Consider the following 14,680-nt stretch of genomic DNA (forward strand, 5'->3'; position numbering starts at 1 on the left):
GCATCTCTCTCCTTTTTTTTCTGCAGACAGTAACAGTTGTAGCAGGAAACTTTTAATATTACAACTGTACAGCATATTTTAAAATATTTTCACATTTTCTTACAACTGTTGTAAATTATAACTAAAATGACCTTACCATGCTTTCAAACAACATGTATAGAGTATCCACATTGTGCTAGCTCCTTCAGATAAGAAGATGCACAGGACTGACTCAGCCCCTGTCTCATGGAGTTTAGAACTGAGTTAGGAGTCAGTCAGCATACACTATTGAGCACCTACTGTGTTCTAGGCACTGTTGTAGGTGAAAACAGTCATGAATACGAGAGTCAGTGTCTCTCCCTAAAAAGTAAGTGGCTTGCCTAGAAAAAAGGCTTAGGTCAGGCGAGGACGCTCATGCCTATAATCCCAGCACTTTGGGAGGCCAAGGCAGGCAGATCACAAGGTCAGTAGTTCCAGACCAGCCTGGCCAATATGGTGAAACCCCATCTCTACTAAAAATACAAAATTAGCCAGGCATGGTGGCGGGCACCTGTAATCCCAGCTACTCGGGAGGCTGAGGCTGGAGAATCGCTTGAACCTGGGAGGCAGAGGTTGCAGTGAGCCGAGATTGCGCCACTGCACTCCAGCCTGGGCGACAGCAGAGCGATACTCCATCTCAAAAAAAGAAAAAGAAAAAAGGCTTAACACATGTTTAATATATATTATTAAATTGGTTGGAGAAGTCCTCTCTAAAAAAGTAAAATTGGAATTGGAACCTGAAGATGAAAAGGAGTTAGTTGTTCAAAGATCTGGGAAGATAGAGTTTCAAGCTGAAGGAACCTCAAGTGCAAAGGCCCTGAGGCTAGAACCAGCTTAACCTGTTTGAGGGTTGAAAGGGAAATGGATGACAGTGAATGAGTGGGTGAGAGAAGGAAAGAGATGAGGTCAGAGAAACTGGCAGGAGTCAGATCATGTGGGCTCTCCAAGGCCACGTAAAGAGTTTGACTTTTATTCTAAAATGTAATGAGATACTAAGCATAGATACAACATGCTCTGATTTATGGGTTTAAAAGGCCACTCTGGCTGCTGGGGAGGCTGTTGGGGGTAAAGGGTGGAAGCGGAGAGACCAGGTGGGACGCAGGTGAAGGATAATGATGGATTAGCTTAGGGCTGTAGAAGTAGAAACGGTGAAAAAAGGCTGACTTGGGGATATACTTTGGAGAATAAGGTTGACAGGGCTTGATAATGAATTGCATGTGGTGGTTGGGAGTGGGTGAGTGAGGGAAGAGAGTTATCAGGGATGAAGACCAGATTTTTGGTCTGAGCACCTGGGTAGACTGTGAGGCCATAAACTAAGATGGGGGAAAACTGGGAGAGGGGCAGTTTGCAGGGGGGAAGGAGGTCCAGAGAGAAATCAATTGTTCTCTTTGGCCACATTAAGTTTCAGAGGCTTGTTACATATTCAGGTGAAGATATTGCTTAGGCAATTGGCTAACTCTATAGCTAAGGGGAAAGGTCCAGGCTGGAGGTATTTCAAAACAAGGGCCAAGATGAAACCACCTGGTGACTACGAGTAGATACAGGAAGACAGAGGGCAGAAGATTGCATATTTAATTACTATGAAGGGAGTTATGTGTTGTGAAAGGGGAAATATCAGGTTAGTGGAGGGAGAAGCTGGTCAAGGAAAGTTTCTTGAAAACATTAAACCCAAGCTCCTTGAAGCCACTGAAAACCAAGCAGTGACATTGTATTAGTGAGGATGCTGTCCCAGAGAAGTAATTTGTAATTGGTCATAGAGCTAGTGGCCTGACTAGAACTGTGTTTTATACTTGAACTAAATCAAATGTGCCACAGGCACAGTATAAAACAGAGGAGAATAGCTGGGAGCGATGGCTCACATATAATCCCAGCACTTTGGGACTCCGAAGCAGGAGGATTACTTGAGCCCAGGAGTTCAAGACCAGCCCTGGCAACATAGGGAGAACATATCTGTACAAAAAAATAAAATATCAGCTGGGAAGCAGTGGTGTGTGTCTGTGGTCCCAGCTACTCAAGAGGCTGAGGTGGAAGGATCTCTTGAGCTCAGGAGGTTGACGCTGCAGTGAGCCGTGTTTGTGCTACAGCGCTCCAGCGTGGATGACAGTCAGACGCTTTAAAAAAATAAGAATAATCTTTAAAACAAAAAACAGGGGAATAGTGGCACACCCTGGGACACAGACTCTGGAGTCATTCTGTCTGAGGTCACATTGTGGATTTGCCATTTACTACTGGCTGGGTTATTCCAGGTGCATTACTCAACATCTCTGTACTTCAGTTTTCTATCTGTAAACGGACTTTCTACTAATAGCTAACTGCTTACAGACTGTTTATCATGATTTTACATACAATATTCAACTTCCCCCTCCAATAATCAATGAGTGACATTATTATTCTCATTCTACTGCTGAGGATCCAGAAGCACATTCACCCATTCCACAAATATTTACCGTGCACCTGCAATGTGCCAGGCATGTTCATGGGTGAACACAGCAAAATCTTTGCCTCTGTGCAGCTTCAGTCTGGGGTTCACAGGAAAAGGAGAAAGATGATAAACAAGAGATACGTACATTACAGGGTAATTATAAAGGGATACCCGCTATACAAGAAAACAGAGCAGGATAACAGAGATAGGAAGTTGGGATTTTAAGTAAGGCAGCCAGAACAGACCTCACCAAGAAGGCAATATCTGAGCAAGGATGTTAAGGGAGCCGGGGGCAACCTAGAATCCACCAGTGGGGAGAGTAAGGCGACTCGGAGAAAGGCGAGGGGCTAATGCATCCGTTCTAATAACTCTGACTTTAACTCGGGGCTAGATGGGGAAACACTGGACAGTTCTACCCCGAGGTGTGACAGAACTTGACCTTCATTTTAAATCGGTCCATCTGTTTAGGCTAGTGAGAAAAAACAATATTTGAACTCGGGCAGTCCAGCTCAGGAGTCTGTGCTGTCGGGATTAAAGAATCAGTCGACACCCCCAGGGCTGAGCCCCGCAGCAAGCGCCCCGCGGGTGCTGGCCCCCAGACTGTGGTTACCGCCATCCTTTCACTTAAACTCCGCCCCGATTACTCCCCCGCTCCAGGGCTCCGCATCCACTCTGCCGGGTCTCCACGAAGCGCTTCCCGGGCTACACATTGCGTAACTTCGGCAGCCGGGCGGAGCCTGCACAGAGGCGGAGCCGCGGCAGCCGGAGAGAACGCCCCAGCAATAGTCGCTAGGAGGAAGCCCCAGGAGCCCTTGCCGCCCACGGAACGCGCCTGCGTAATCCGGGTCCAGGCCGCCGACATTCCAGGACCGCCTTCCGCCCCGCCCCCAATTCTGGGGCGGAGTCCTCGGCCGCGCCGGCGCAAAGCGTCGCCGCACCCCACGCCTGCGCGCTTCGCCCGCCCGGCCCCATCCCCCCAGGTTTTTCGCGTGGGGGAGGGGGCACGTCTCGGCGAGTCACGATGATGGCGGCCACCATCCTGTGGTGAGCTAGCGGATTCCCTGCTTGTCTCGCCGACCCCCTCGCGCCTTCTGCAGACTCCGTGGCTGGCGCTCGGCGCGTGAGGAAGCACGGCGGCCCGAGTTCGCGGGGAAGGCCGCAGTCGCGGAGGCAGCGGCGCGGTCCGGGGCACGGGCTGGGGGAGAGGCCGCTCCGCTGGGCGAATGTGACAAGCCCCCACCCCCACCGCCTTCCTCCCCAGAGCGCGAGGAGCGCGGGCGACCCCGGGGCCCCGCCAGGCCACAGACCCCGCCCAGCGGCCAGCACCCGGCGCAGGCCCGGCAGCCGAGCTGCGCGGCGGCACCATGCAGGTCACCCTGAAGACCCTCCAGCAGCAGACCTTCAAGATAGACATTGACCCCGAGGAGACGGTATGCGCGCGGGCCGGGGGCAGGGGCAGCCGCGTGCGGGCCGCGGGGAGCGCCAGGAGCTCGTGGGGCCGGGCGGCGCGCTCCAGCGGGGGAAGCCCCGGAGGGCGCGATGAGGGCCCTGGGTCCTGGTGCCGGCCCTGGCGGCGTACAGCGGAGCCGATCCTCCTGTCTTGGCCGTGGGCTTTGTGGCAGGAGAATGGGGAAGCAGTGGCCGGACGCCGAAGGCCTGGTGGCAGATGGCGTGGAGCGCACGCCCGCGGGCCTGGGCCTAGGAGCTCGTGCTAGCGGGGCCGGAGGGGGATGGGAAGGTCCAGGCCGTCTCAGCCGTAGAGCCTGGCTTTCTGGTATGGGTGCACAGGTGGGGGAGGGAGACGTAGGCGTCGCCACTACCCCTGTGTGGACCTGGTTAGCCGCTTAGTTCCCAGAGTTGGTAACCCGAGAAGATGAGCCTTAAGAAAAAAAAAAGTATCAGGTTCCGTTTGCCGCCGAGAGGTGAGTGGTGGTGAAAATGAATTTGCCCCTTTCCCCTCAGAATTGTTTACCCTTTTATTTGCAAATGAATCGTTCTGCTGCCTTCCTCCCGCCACCAAACCCACACCCTTGCGTAGATTGCACTTTGAGGCCTCTTTGGTGATGGTTTTAGCTGTTAGAGCTCTTCACAGCCATCCAGGCTCAAACTAAACTTCAGATTTAACGGGTTTTCTGTGTTAGAAATCTTGGAATTGTAGGAGTTGGAACGCTGCAGCCACCCTCCCCCGATGCCCCAAACAGTAGCAGTTCAAGGGGGAAAAAAGAAAAAAAAAACAAAAAACAACAACTTTGAATCCTTTCTGCAGTTAAAGCCTTAAACATTTCAGAAGTCCACATTATACATTTTTCTGTATTTGTGACTGCATAAAGAGACACTGTTGAGGTCAGTACAACTTTATGCCAAGAATCTAAAAACGCTGTGAGTGTAAATTTACTGCTTATGTTCGGAAATACACCGCCAAGATTGTCATAATACTAAGTTTAAACCAGCAGCTTTCTGCCCAACTCTATTTTTAAAAGTAGTTGATTCTATTTTGGGTGGAGATCAGGGGCTTTGGTGTTAAGTAGACCTGAGTTCCATTTGTGGTTTTGTAACTTATTTGCTATGACCTTGGGCAAATTACGGTTAGTTTCATTCTCTGTATAATAGGGATAATACCTGCCTTGCAGAGATGTGAAGATTAGATGGTATGTATTTACTTGGTGGTCAGTAAATGGAATCGATTATTTAAACAATGGATTCCTTTGAGTGGAGATACAGTGTTACGTTTTACTTATCTCATTTAATCTTAAGTTTTGTACATCTTTAATTTTTTAAGAAACAGCCTTTTTGGGATTTTGGTACAAAATTATTTGATTTCAGAATATTTATATGTGGGTGTATGCTGTGTGATTAACTTCTTAAAAGTACAGGAGATCTCAGTTATACATGAGAAACTTTTCAGTGTCCTCAGAAGTAATTGACAATACCCTGTGGACTGACAGTACTAATAGAATCTAATTTCTCTTGAATATTTCTTTACTGCTTAATGTGCATTAATAAGTTGAAGGGTGAAAGTTAAAATGGAGTTTGTTTGATGATTTCAGACAAACTACGTAAAATGCCTATTTGACTTTGGTTCTTTGTGGTAACAAATGTTGGTGCCCCAGTAACTTAATCGGCTTATAATACTCAGTTAATTTCAGAATTATTGAAAGCTAAAGAAATATTGTGGCTTTTTGGTAAATATGTGTGGGTGTATTGAAGTTATGCAGTGACTCTGTCAACAGCTCCACTGAAGTATTTACGTTCTGTAAGATTTGTTTAGCGTTTTAGGCACTTTACGCATACTGTTAACTGAGAGTCAATGCTGTACCTGTGTTTGTGTGAATTCTTAACTATTTTTGCTGTTTTCCAGTTTATTTCCAAGGAAAAGTAATATGTTATACGTCTGGAAGTATATTTTTGAAAAGCCCATTGTTAGGGAGCGGTTTCTACAGCTTTCGCTGCTATTTATATAAATATAATTTTGTTGCTGTTAGTATAAAAAAACTAATACTGTTAGTCCGGGGCAAGAAATTAAAGCATTTCCTCTGGGATATATGGAACGTTTGCATTTAATGACTTGTCAGTTTTTATTTTAATGACTTTAGGAAATATTTTTCATGACAACTGTTTCAATTCTATGTTTGTAGTGGGTTTTAATTAGTATGTGTTTTTGATACGACACCTTAGAATTCCAGTAAGAAAATAAACAATGAAAATTATGTTTTCTAGGGCAACGCTAAGTGTCCTGTTTCTAAGTTGTTGTGAGAACGAGGTAACCAAGGATATTAGAAATAGATCTAAAATAAGATAGGATCTTATTGAGACCTGTTTTTGGTCTGGTCACAGATTTGTCCTTGTTTAATTTTTACCTAGAAGGAACCAAGGAAATTAAGTAACTTACGTAGCCAGTATAGCAACTCTTGTGAGCTTGAGATGAGCATGAGCAAAAATGGAAGAAAGGACTGTGAGATAAGTGGAATCATGGGAATGATTCATTTGTTGAACAAGTAAATGTTTAGTGAGCTTTGCTGGCAGGACTGGAGGAGTACAGGGACCTGTAGAACGTGGTCTGGGGCTTCTGGGAGCCTTATTGACTTAGTCAAAGCTCATTGGCTATAGAGTAGGGGGATATACAAAATGGAAAGAGCAAGATAATTTGTTTTAAGGTGTTTTTATTTGCCCTAGTTTTAACAAAACTTTCTTAGACTTATTAGGCATTTTGTACCATTTACTTGACTATTACTGTGATACATTACATGACCACTGCCTTTAGTGTTAATCTTTGCAAAGATCTTTTTGTTTCTACAATTGTAATGCAAGCCTTCTTATAAAATATTCAAACAATATAGAAACAAAATGAGAAGGTGGTATGTGTGGGGTAGGGAGACCATTGCTAGGAGATTTTCTTCATTATGTGCTTTTTTTGTTTTTTACTGTAAAAATTGTGGGAGACTTTTAAGTAGCCTACATATTAAAGCATTTTGAGATGTGTGATAGAGCACTGCTTCTCTGAAATTCTTAAAAATTCTGAAGTTTAGGCTGGGTGTGGTGGCTCATGCCTGTAATCCCAGCACTTTGGGAGGCCGAGGTGGGCGGATCACAAGGTCAGGAGATCGAGACCATCCTGGTTAACACGGTGAAACCCCGTCTCTACTAAAAAAAATACAAAAAATTAGACGGACGTGGTGGCATGCACCTGTAGTCCCAGCTACTTGGGAGGCTGAGGCAGGAGAATCGCTTGAACCCAGGAGGCAGAGGTTGCAGTGAGCTGAGATCACTCCATTGCACTCCAGCCTGGGCGACAAAGCGAGACTCCGTCTCAAAAAAAAAAAAAAAAAATTCTGAAGTTTAATGGTGTGATGGACATTTAGAGGGAAATGGAATACAGTTTTTAAGCTCAGTTTTATAGTCAATTAGTGTTTTATATTACTGTTGCTTAAAAACATTAAGAAAGGTAGATTTAGGAATAAACCTTTTGAGATAAAAAAAATACAGTGCAGTATTTTATTGCATCACTGAAATGGTGACAAGAAAAAGTATGTGATATACAAATTAATCCTGCAGTCTAACTCTTGACACTGTTTGCCTTGAACAACTAAAAACAAAACTCAGTAAATTTGAGATGAGACTTTAAATGCAAAAGCTGAAATGTGATTGGATTAGTATATAAGTGACATTAAAATTCTACATATACATTGGATGTTTTTGCTAAGAGAATTGCAAAGACATCAGTTTTAATATCTATAAATAGCATATTAGTGTGCTGTGAAGAATTACCTAATTTCGTGGTTTACCTCTATAATGTGATTGTTATAAAATACTGCTTTACCCAGCACCTTGGGAAGCCGAGGCGGGTGGATCACCTGAGGTCAGGAGTTCCAGACCAGCCTGACCAACATGGTGAAACCTGGTCTCTACTAAAAATAGAAAATTAGCTGGGCATGGTGGTGCATGCCTGTAATCCCAGCCACTTAGGAGGCTGAGGCAGGAGAGTCGCTTGAACCTGGGAGGAGGAGGTTGCAGTGAGCTGAGATCGCACCATTGCACTCCAGCCTGGGTAACAAGAGCGAAACTCCATCTCAAAAAAAAAAAAAAAACAAAAAAACTGTGTGTGTATATTGCTTTAGTACTTGCTCTGTATTATACAGTATTTACTAGCCATCATTTATTAGTGAAGTATTCCTGTGGTGGTTTATTGTATTTTCAATATAGTCATGCTAGATACAATTTCATATTATACAAGCTTCCTAGATTAAGGTAATGAGTAGTAAATGTATTAAAAATACTATATCACAGAGGTGAAATTAAGAGTTCTTGGCATATTGGCAGAACAAGATACAGGAAGAAACTGAGAAATCTGGTACATTTTTGCCAGACTTTTGCTGTTTTGATGCCGTGCACACAGTAGGCATTTAGTAAAGATCTTTGAATGAACTGAATATATTCTTTTGGTGAACTGGCAAAGCAGTGATCCCCCAACGTAGTGTGTTTGCATGTTGATTTATTTATTTAATAAATATTTGCTGTGTACTTACTAGATGTCAGGCCCTGCTGTGATGGTATGTGCATTCTAGTGGGATAAAACTGTCAAAAAATACATTTTAAAAACCAGGTAATGGTAAGTGCTATGCAGAAAGTTGAAATAGGATAAAGTATTTGATAATACTTCACTGGGTGGCTACATTTTTGTTGTTGTTTTGTTTTGTTTTTGAGATGCAGTCTTACTCTGTAGCCCAAGCTGGAGTGCAGTGGCGCCATCTTGGCTCACTGCAGCCTTCGCCTCTGGGGCTCAAGCGATTCTCCTGCCTCAGCCTCCCAAGTAGCTGGGACTAGAGGTGTGCCCCACCACACCTGGTTAATTTTTTTGTATTTTTAGTAGAGACAGGGTTTCATCATGTTGCCCTGGGTGGTCTTGAACTCCTGAGCTCAGGAGATCTGGGTGGCTACTTTTAAATTTACTAGTCACTGAAGGCCTTTCTGAATAAGGTGACATTTAAGCTGAGAGCTGAGTAAAAATGAGCACTCGAGAATGAAGAGAATGTTTTCTATAGGGAACTGCTAGAGCAAAGACCTTTAAGAATGTGTTTTGGGTACTGAAAAAAAGCCTGCATTGCTAAGGTGATGGGTAAGAGATAAGGGTGAGTTGGGTAAGAGATAAGAGAGTGAGTTAGGCAAGTGAGTTAGGCTAGGGGTTTTCAGGGTAAACTTGGAAACATTTACAAGCAGGACAGAAATCTTTGTTTCTTTGTCTCTGTCTCTCTTTTCTCTTTTTCCCTCCCTTCCTCTCTCCCTTCCTCCCTCCCTTCTTCCCTTCCTCCCTCCCTTCCTCCCTCCTTTCCTCCCTTCTTCCCTCCCTCCCTCCCTTCCCCCTTCCCTCTCCTTTCCTCTCCTTCCCTCCTTTCCTCCCTTCCTTCCCCACTCCTTTCCCTTCCTTCCTTCCCTTCCTTTTTCAACAAGGTCTTGCTCTGTCACCCAGGATAGAGTACAGTGGCATGATCATAGCTCACTGCAGCCCCAAACTCCTGGGCTCAAGTGATCCTCCACCCTAAGCCTCCCCAGTAGCTGGGACTACGGGGGCATGCCACCACGCCCAGCTAATTTTAGTTTTTTTTTGTAGGGATGGGGTCTTGATGTTTTATCCAGGCTGGTCTCCAACTTCTAGCCTCAAGTGATCCTCCTGCCTCAGCCTCCTAAAGTGCTGGGATGACAGGCATGAGCCAGCACACCTAGCCAAGAAATATTTCTTGTAGGATTTTTAAAGGTTACTTTGATGCTGTGGGGTGGGCAAGAGTGAAAAGCAGAGACATCAGTTAGGGGGCTTGTGCAGTAGTTTTAAGTAATTGCAGCTTGAACCAGGGCAGTAGGAGTGGAGATGTAGAGAAGTAGATGGAATTAGGATATGTTTTGAGAGGTACAGTTGGCTGTACCACTTGCTGTGTCACCTCAGGCAAGTTACTCAGTATGTGCCTTTTGGTCCTCTGCTGTAAAATGAGAATACTAGTATGAAAGTACTAACTTATTGGTATATGGGTTTTGAAATAATATTAACAGTGCTTGGCAATGTGGTACCACTCTCCCTCCATTGTTCTTGCTTAGAAAGCCTCAAATGTGATTAAATTCAACTCAGTGTTTGTACTTGCACCTGAGTGGCCAGAGATGCACCTTGTAGCCACATTGACTTGTCTTGCTTAAATTTATGAACATTAAGGAACTTAAGTTCATGAGCACTAAGGAACATTAAGGCACACTAAGGAACCTTAATTGGGTCCTTAGTATGCAGCACCTGACAGTCTTACAGTTTACTAGTCCAGTCACTCTTCCACTGCCACAGGATGCTTTCATATCATCTAGCCTGCTTATTTTCACTTGATGACCCTAGTCTTTATTTGATTGAGAATTTGGAAATAATCGAGACAGAATGTCTACAAGGTCCTACCGTAGCTACCTACCTGCTAGCCTCTTCTTACTGTAGATAGTTCTGAATTGTGGGCGGTGCTATCTAAGGCAGGTCCTTCCACTTTTCCACTGTACCTCATCCCCTGTCATGTGTGAAGGACATCACTCCATCAGATCTTTTCTCTTCATCACTGATTTTTCCCATTTCTAGGGTATACAAACATTTTTCCCCATCTTAATGATACACTCCCTTGTGTCCACATCCCTCTTTAGCTGCTGCCCTATTTCCCTGCTTCTCAAGAAAATTCAGGAGTATCTCTTAATTCTGTTTACTTTTTTCCACATCTTGCTCTTTTCAGATCCACCATACTGTTCCTAAAAGGGAGTCCTCACAACTTTGTACTTGTGCTTTGTCCTTAAGCACAATACTTTTAAAAAAGTCTTTCTCCTCTTTATTAAAATGAGAGTAATAATAATTGAACTGCTTTCCTAACAGTTGTGAAAATCAGGTGAGATCATGGGCATGGAAATATTTAGTGAATTGTGAAATTAGAAATAAATTTTGCAGTTTTTAAACAAATCCTGCTTTCATCAGTTTTTATTTCGATCATTTCACTATTCTTTCTTTAAAAGGTTTGTATGAATGAGATATTCTCATTTTCTTAGATTGACATAATCAGCAATTTTGAACAGTGTGTAAAATCAATGAACAAGGTCCTGCCGCGATAGATGCCGTATAGGATTCCAGTTAATTTCTGAAAGAAATTTGCTAAATTTAACCCTACTGTGGCACAGTGAATCGTACGAAGGACACTACACCATCTGTTCCCTGTAAGTTTAGATAAATAAATGTTTTTTATAGTGTCACGAAAGCTAATTTTACAACTGAATGAGCTTTATAAAACTTGTAAACATTGTATAAACTTATTTCGAGGAGGTAGACCAGCTACAAATGACTGACAATACATGAACAGATTCTGGAGGCTTAAACAGGTAGATAAAGTTGTTCTCACCAATTATTCCCCACACACTTCTGGTTGAATTAGGTAGGCACCTTGTTTTTGCTAGTGCACTGGCGAGATCCATTCTTTGCCTATATAGAAACTTACAGGTATCTTGGGAATTCTGCTTACTCAGTTTTCAAATTCCTGTGTTTCTTTTGGTCTTGTTGAAATCATACTGTTAGGAATATATTTTATAATAGATTAAATTGGCATGAATTGGTTGGCTTAATTTCTGTGGGACAAATGGGTTTTGGATTTCAAATCATATATTTAAAATAATAGCCTTTTGGATCATAACCCCAGTTTGAGGATTGCCTTTGTTATAGTGCCTGCCTCTTCTCACATAATTAATGTTATGCTATCAGTTATTGTTTCAATTGTAAAAATCTCCTGTACTAAATTATTTTATTCCTTGGGTCCAGTGAGGAGATTTTTCCTATTTGTACTGAAGTCAGCTGACATTTTTAAAATCAAATTTGTATTTGTAGAAATATCAGGAACCTACCTTGGGACAGAAATTCCCCAGGAAATACTCTGGTGCCTGTACCAGTTTCTCAAGTGGAAGGAGAAGAACCGAAGAACCAAAAAAGAAAAAGCATTACCTGTAGTGTAAACATAAGAAATCCTTTAGTACACATTTGGCTTTGGGAATCTCCTTTATTTTGCTAATTGTTGATTGCCAAAATTTAATTGCTGCTATTATTTTTTAATTAGGCCGTGTAGTATTAGAACTGCCTTAGACCTTTTTCTTTTAAATGAAATCTCTTTTTCTCTTTGAAAGTCCAGTTTTCCCTAAATTACTCAAGTAATTCAGGCTCATTATAGTAAATAAAGTATAGTAAAATGAGAATGGCTTTTGCCATCGGTCTAAGGAACCACTGTAGACTCTGTATATCCCTCTAGTCTTTTCAAAAAATACATTTACACATAATACATGAACACAACTACACTATTTGTTTAAAAAAATTAATTAGCAACTAGCTTTTTTTCCTCAAACATAGTTATAAATATTCATTTATATTGCATAATGTTCAAATGAATTTATGTACATTAATTTATTTTACCATTTCTCCTTTGTGGATGTTTAGGGTGGTTTTCAGTTTTTAGTATTGCAAAAAGCAATGTAGTGCACATACTTTGTACCTTTGTCTTTGAAGTAGTTACATGAGCACCTCTAGCATTGATTTCTAGATGCGAAATTATTTGGTCAAAGTGTGGCAGATTGCCTTTAAAAATGCCTGGTCAGGCTGAGCGCCGTGGCTTATGCCTGTAATCCCAGCACTTTGGGAGGCTGAGGTGGGCGGATCACGAGGTCAGGAGTTCGAGACCCTCCTGGCCAATGTGATGAAACCCTGTCTCTACTAAAAATACAAAAAATTAGCTAGGTGTGGTGGCGTGCACCTGTAGTCTCAGCTACTTGGGAGGCTGAGGCAGGAGAATCGCTTGAACTCGTGAGGTGGAGGTTGCAGTGAGCCAAGATCGTGCCACTACACTCCAGCCTGGTGACAGAGCGAGACTCTGTCAAAAAAAAAAAAAAAAAAAAAAGCCTGGTCAGTACTTACACACATTAACAATACTTGTTATTTACAAATACCATCTCCCATATGAGTAGCCAGGATTCAAATTTAGAGACTCTGCCTCTAGAGCCTGTATGTTTAACCTTTTTATTTCATCTGCCTTAGTGTCCCCATTAGAAAAAGAGGATAATAGTATCTACCTGTGTACTAGTTAACCTATTACTGCATAACAAATTACCCCAAAACTTAATTAGAACAGTAAACACTTACTATTTCATAATTTCTGTGAGTCAGAAATTCAGGGATATTTTAGCTGTGTGGTTCTTACTCAAGAGTCTCAGGAAGTTGGATTTAAGGACTTCATTCTATGCATTAAAGGCTTGACTGGCTGGAGGGTTCCCACTGAAAGTGACTTCCTCACATGGCTAACAGCTTGGTGATGGTTATTGACTGGAGGCCTCAGATCCTCCCCATATGTCCTCATGACATTGTGGCTGGCTTCTCCCAGTGTTAGTGATCCAAGAGAGCAAAATAGAAACGATGGCTTTTATATATAAACCAGCCTCAGAAGTCACACTTTTACTTCAGCAGTATCTTACTGTTCTTGTGGACTAGCCATAATTTAGTATGTGAAGGGTATGTACCAAAGGCTTGAATACCAAGAGATGGGAGTCATTGGGGGCCATCTTGGGTGTTGGCTACTACAACCTCATAGAGATGTAGTACAGATTAAAAGAGTTAATTATTGTGAGGCTCTTAGTACACTGCCTGGCATATGGCAAGTACATAGCCTGCATTAGCTTTTATTCAGATGTTATATTTCAGGGCTACCCATTAAAACTTTACACAATTATTTATACTGTATATAGTTACAACAGTAATAAGGAACAACATAGTTACAAAAGTAAGAAGAAAAAATAATACTGTAACAGTGAGCACGCTGTTATATGGAATATGCAATTGCTGACCTAATTAACAAGCAGTAGCCTAGAAATCTTATGCAAAGTGCTGTGTAAGAAGATTGACATGGCAGCTCATTATACTATCATAGGAATATGATTTACAAGATATTATTTTGATGTCTCATGCATGACCTAAATTTGTCGAATGAAAAATGACTGCTTTTTTAAAGAGACAGAGTCTTGCTCTGTTGCTCAGGCTGGAGTACGCTGACAAGATTATAGCTCACTCCAACCTTGAACTCCTGGGCTCAGTCAATCCTTTCACGTCAGCCTCCTGAGGTAACTGGGACTACAAGCGGGCACCACAGCACCCGTCTAATTAAAAAAATTTTTTTGGAGATGGTGGCTCACTATGTTGACCAGGCTGACCTCAAACTATTGGGATAACAGGGGAAATGACTACTTTTAATGGTTGTTGGCCTGAACTAGAATAGTGCCAGTGCCACAGAGATGCACGGTAGTGCTCACATTAGGGAATAATTAGATGGTAAGTTTAGCTTTGTGGCGGCACTTTTAAATACACTTTATGATTGTCTTCCTTTGGAGGAAAAAAGAAAAACCATGCCCATCATGTTTAATATTATGTTGAGTACGTTTTTATTTTTAAATGCACGATTTTTTAAGAGAGAATTAAGTAGCTAGAAAAAATGTTTGATTTCTTGAATGTTAACCATGTCTTTGTCTCTAGTGGAATTGATGATAAACCACCATTATTTATGTAGTGGGAAATGCAGCACAATGAAAGTTCTAGCCTTGGTTATGTACTGGGACTGTGGTGCTCAGGTTTATATTCACTCTGTTGAGATGGCTTACTGGAATGGGAGCATTGGTGTGGGGCTCAGCGCAGTTAAAGGAGTCATAATTGCATCTGTT

The 14,680-nt window shown here is 42.6% G+C and overlaps 1 protein-coding gene across 3 annotated transcripts in view, besides 2 other annotated features; it reads left to right on the forward strand.

Moving 5' to 3' along the window:
• Positions 2,783 to 2,942: an enhancer, noted in NCBI's record as "active region_28750". NCBI's record gives its function as "activates an Ori minimal core promoter by ATAC-STARR-seq in GM12878 lymphoblastoid cells {active_cell/tissue: GM12878}" and the evidence as "EXISTENCE:reporter gene assay evidence [ECO:0000049][PMID:35858748]".
• Positions 3,433 to 3,992: a silencer, noted in NCBI's record as "silent region_20156". NCBI's record gives its function as "represses an Ori minimal core promoter by ATAC-STARR-seq in GM12878 lymphoblastoid cells {active_cell/tissue: GM12878}" and the evidence as "EXISTENCE:reporter gene assay evidence [ECO:0000049][PMID:35858748]".
• Positions 3,454 to 14,680, forward strand: part of RAD23B (RAD23 nucleotide excision repair protein B) — a 48,916-nt gene continuing 37,689 nt past the window's right edge. The window contains exon 1 of one of the 3 annotated variants that reach the window (NM_002874.5): positions 3,454 to 3,870. In NM_002874.5, coding sequence (NP_002865.1) covers positions 3,805 to 3,870 — 66 coding nt within the window. In that variant the 5' untranslated portion in view covers positions 3,454 to 3,804. Of the gene's footprint in view, positions 3,871 to 4,282; positions 4,363 to 4,943; positions 5,089 to 14,680 lie in introns of those variants that run through there. The other 2 variants (NM_001244724.2, NM_001244713.1) reach the window with 2 other exon arrangements.

This window comes from Homo sapiens, chromosome 9, assembly GCF_000001405.40.
Source record: "Homo sapiens chromosome 9, GRCh38.p14 Primary Assembly".
NCBI classification, from domain to species: Eukaryota; Metazoa; Chordata; class Mammalia; order Primates; family Hominidae; genus Homo; species Homo sapiens.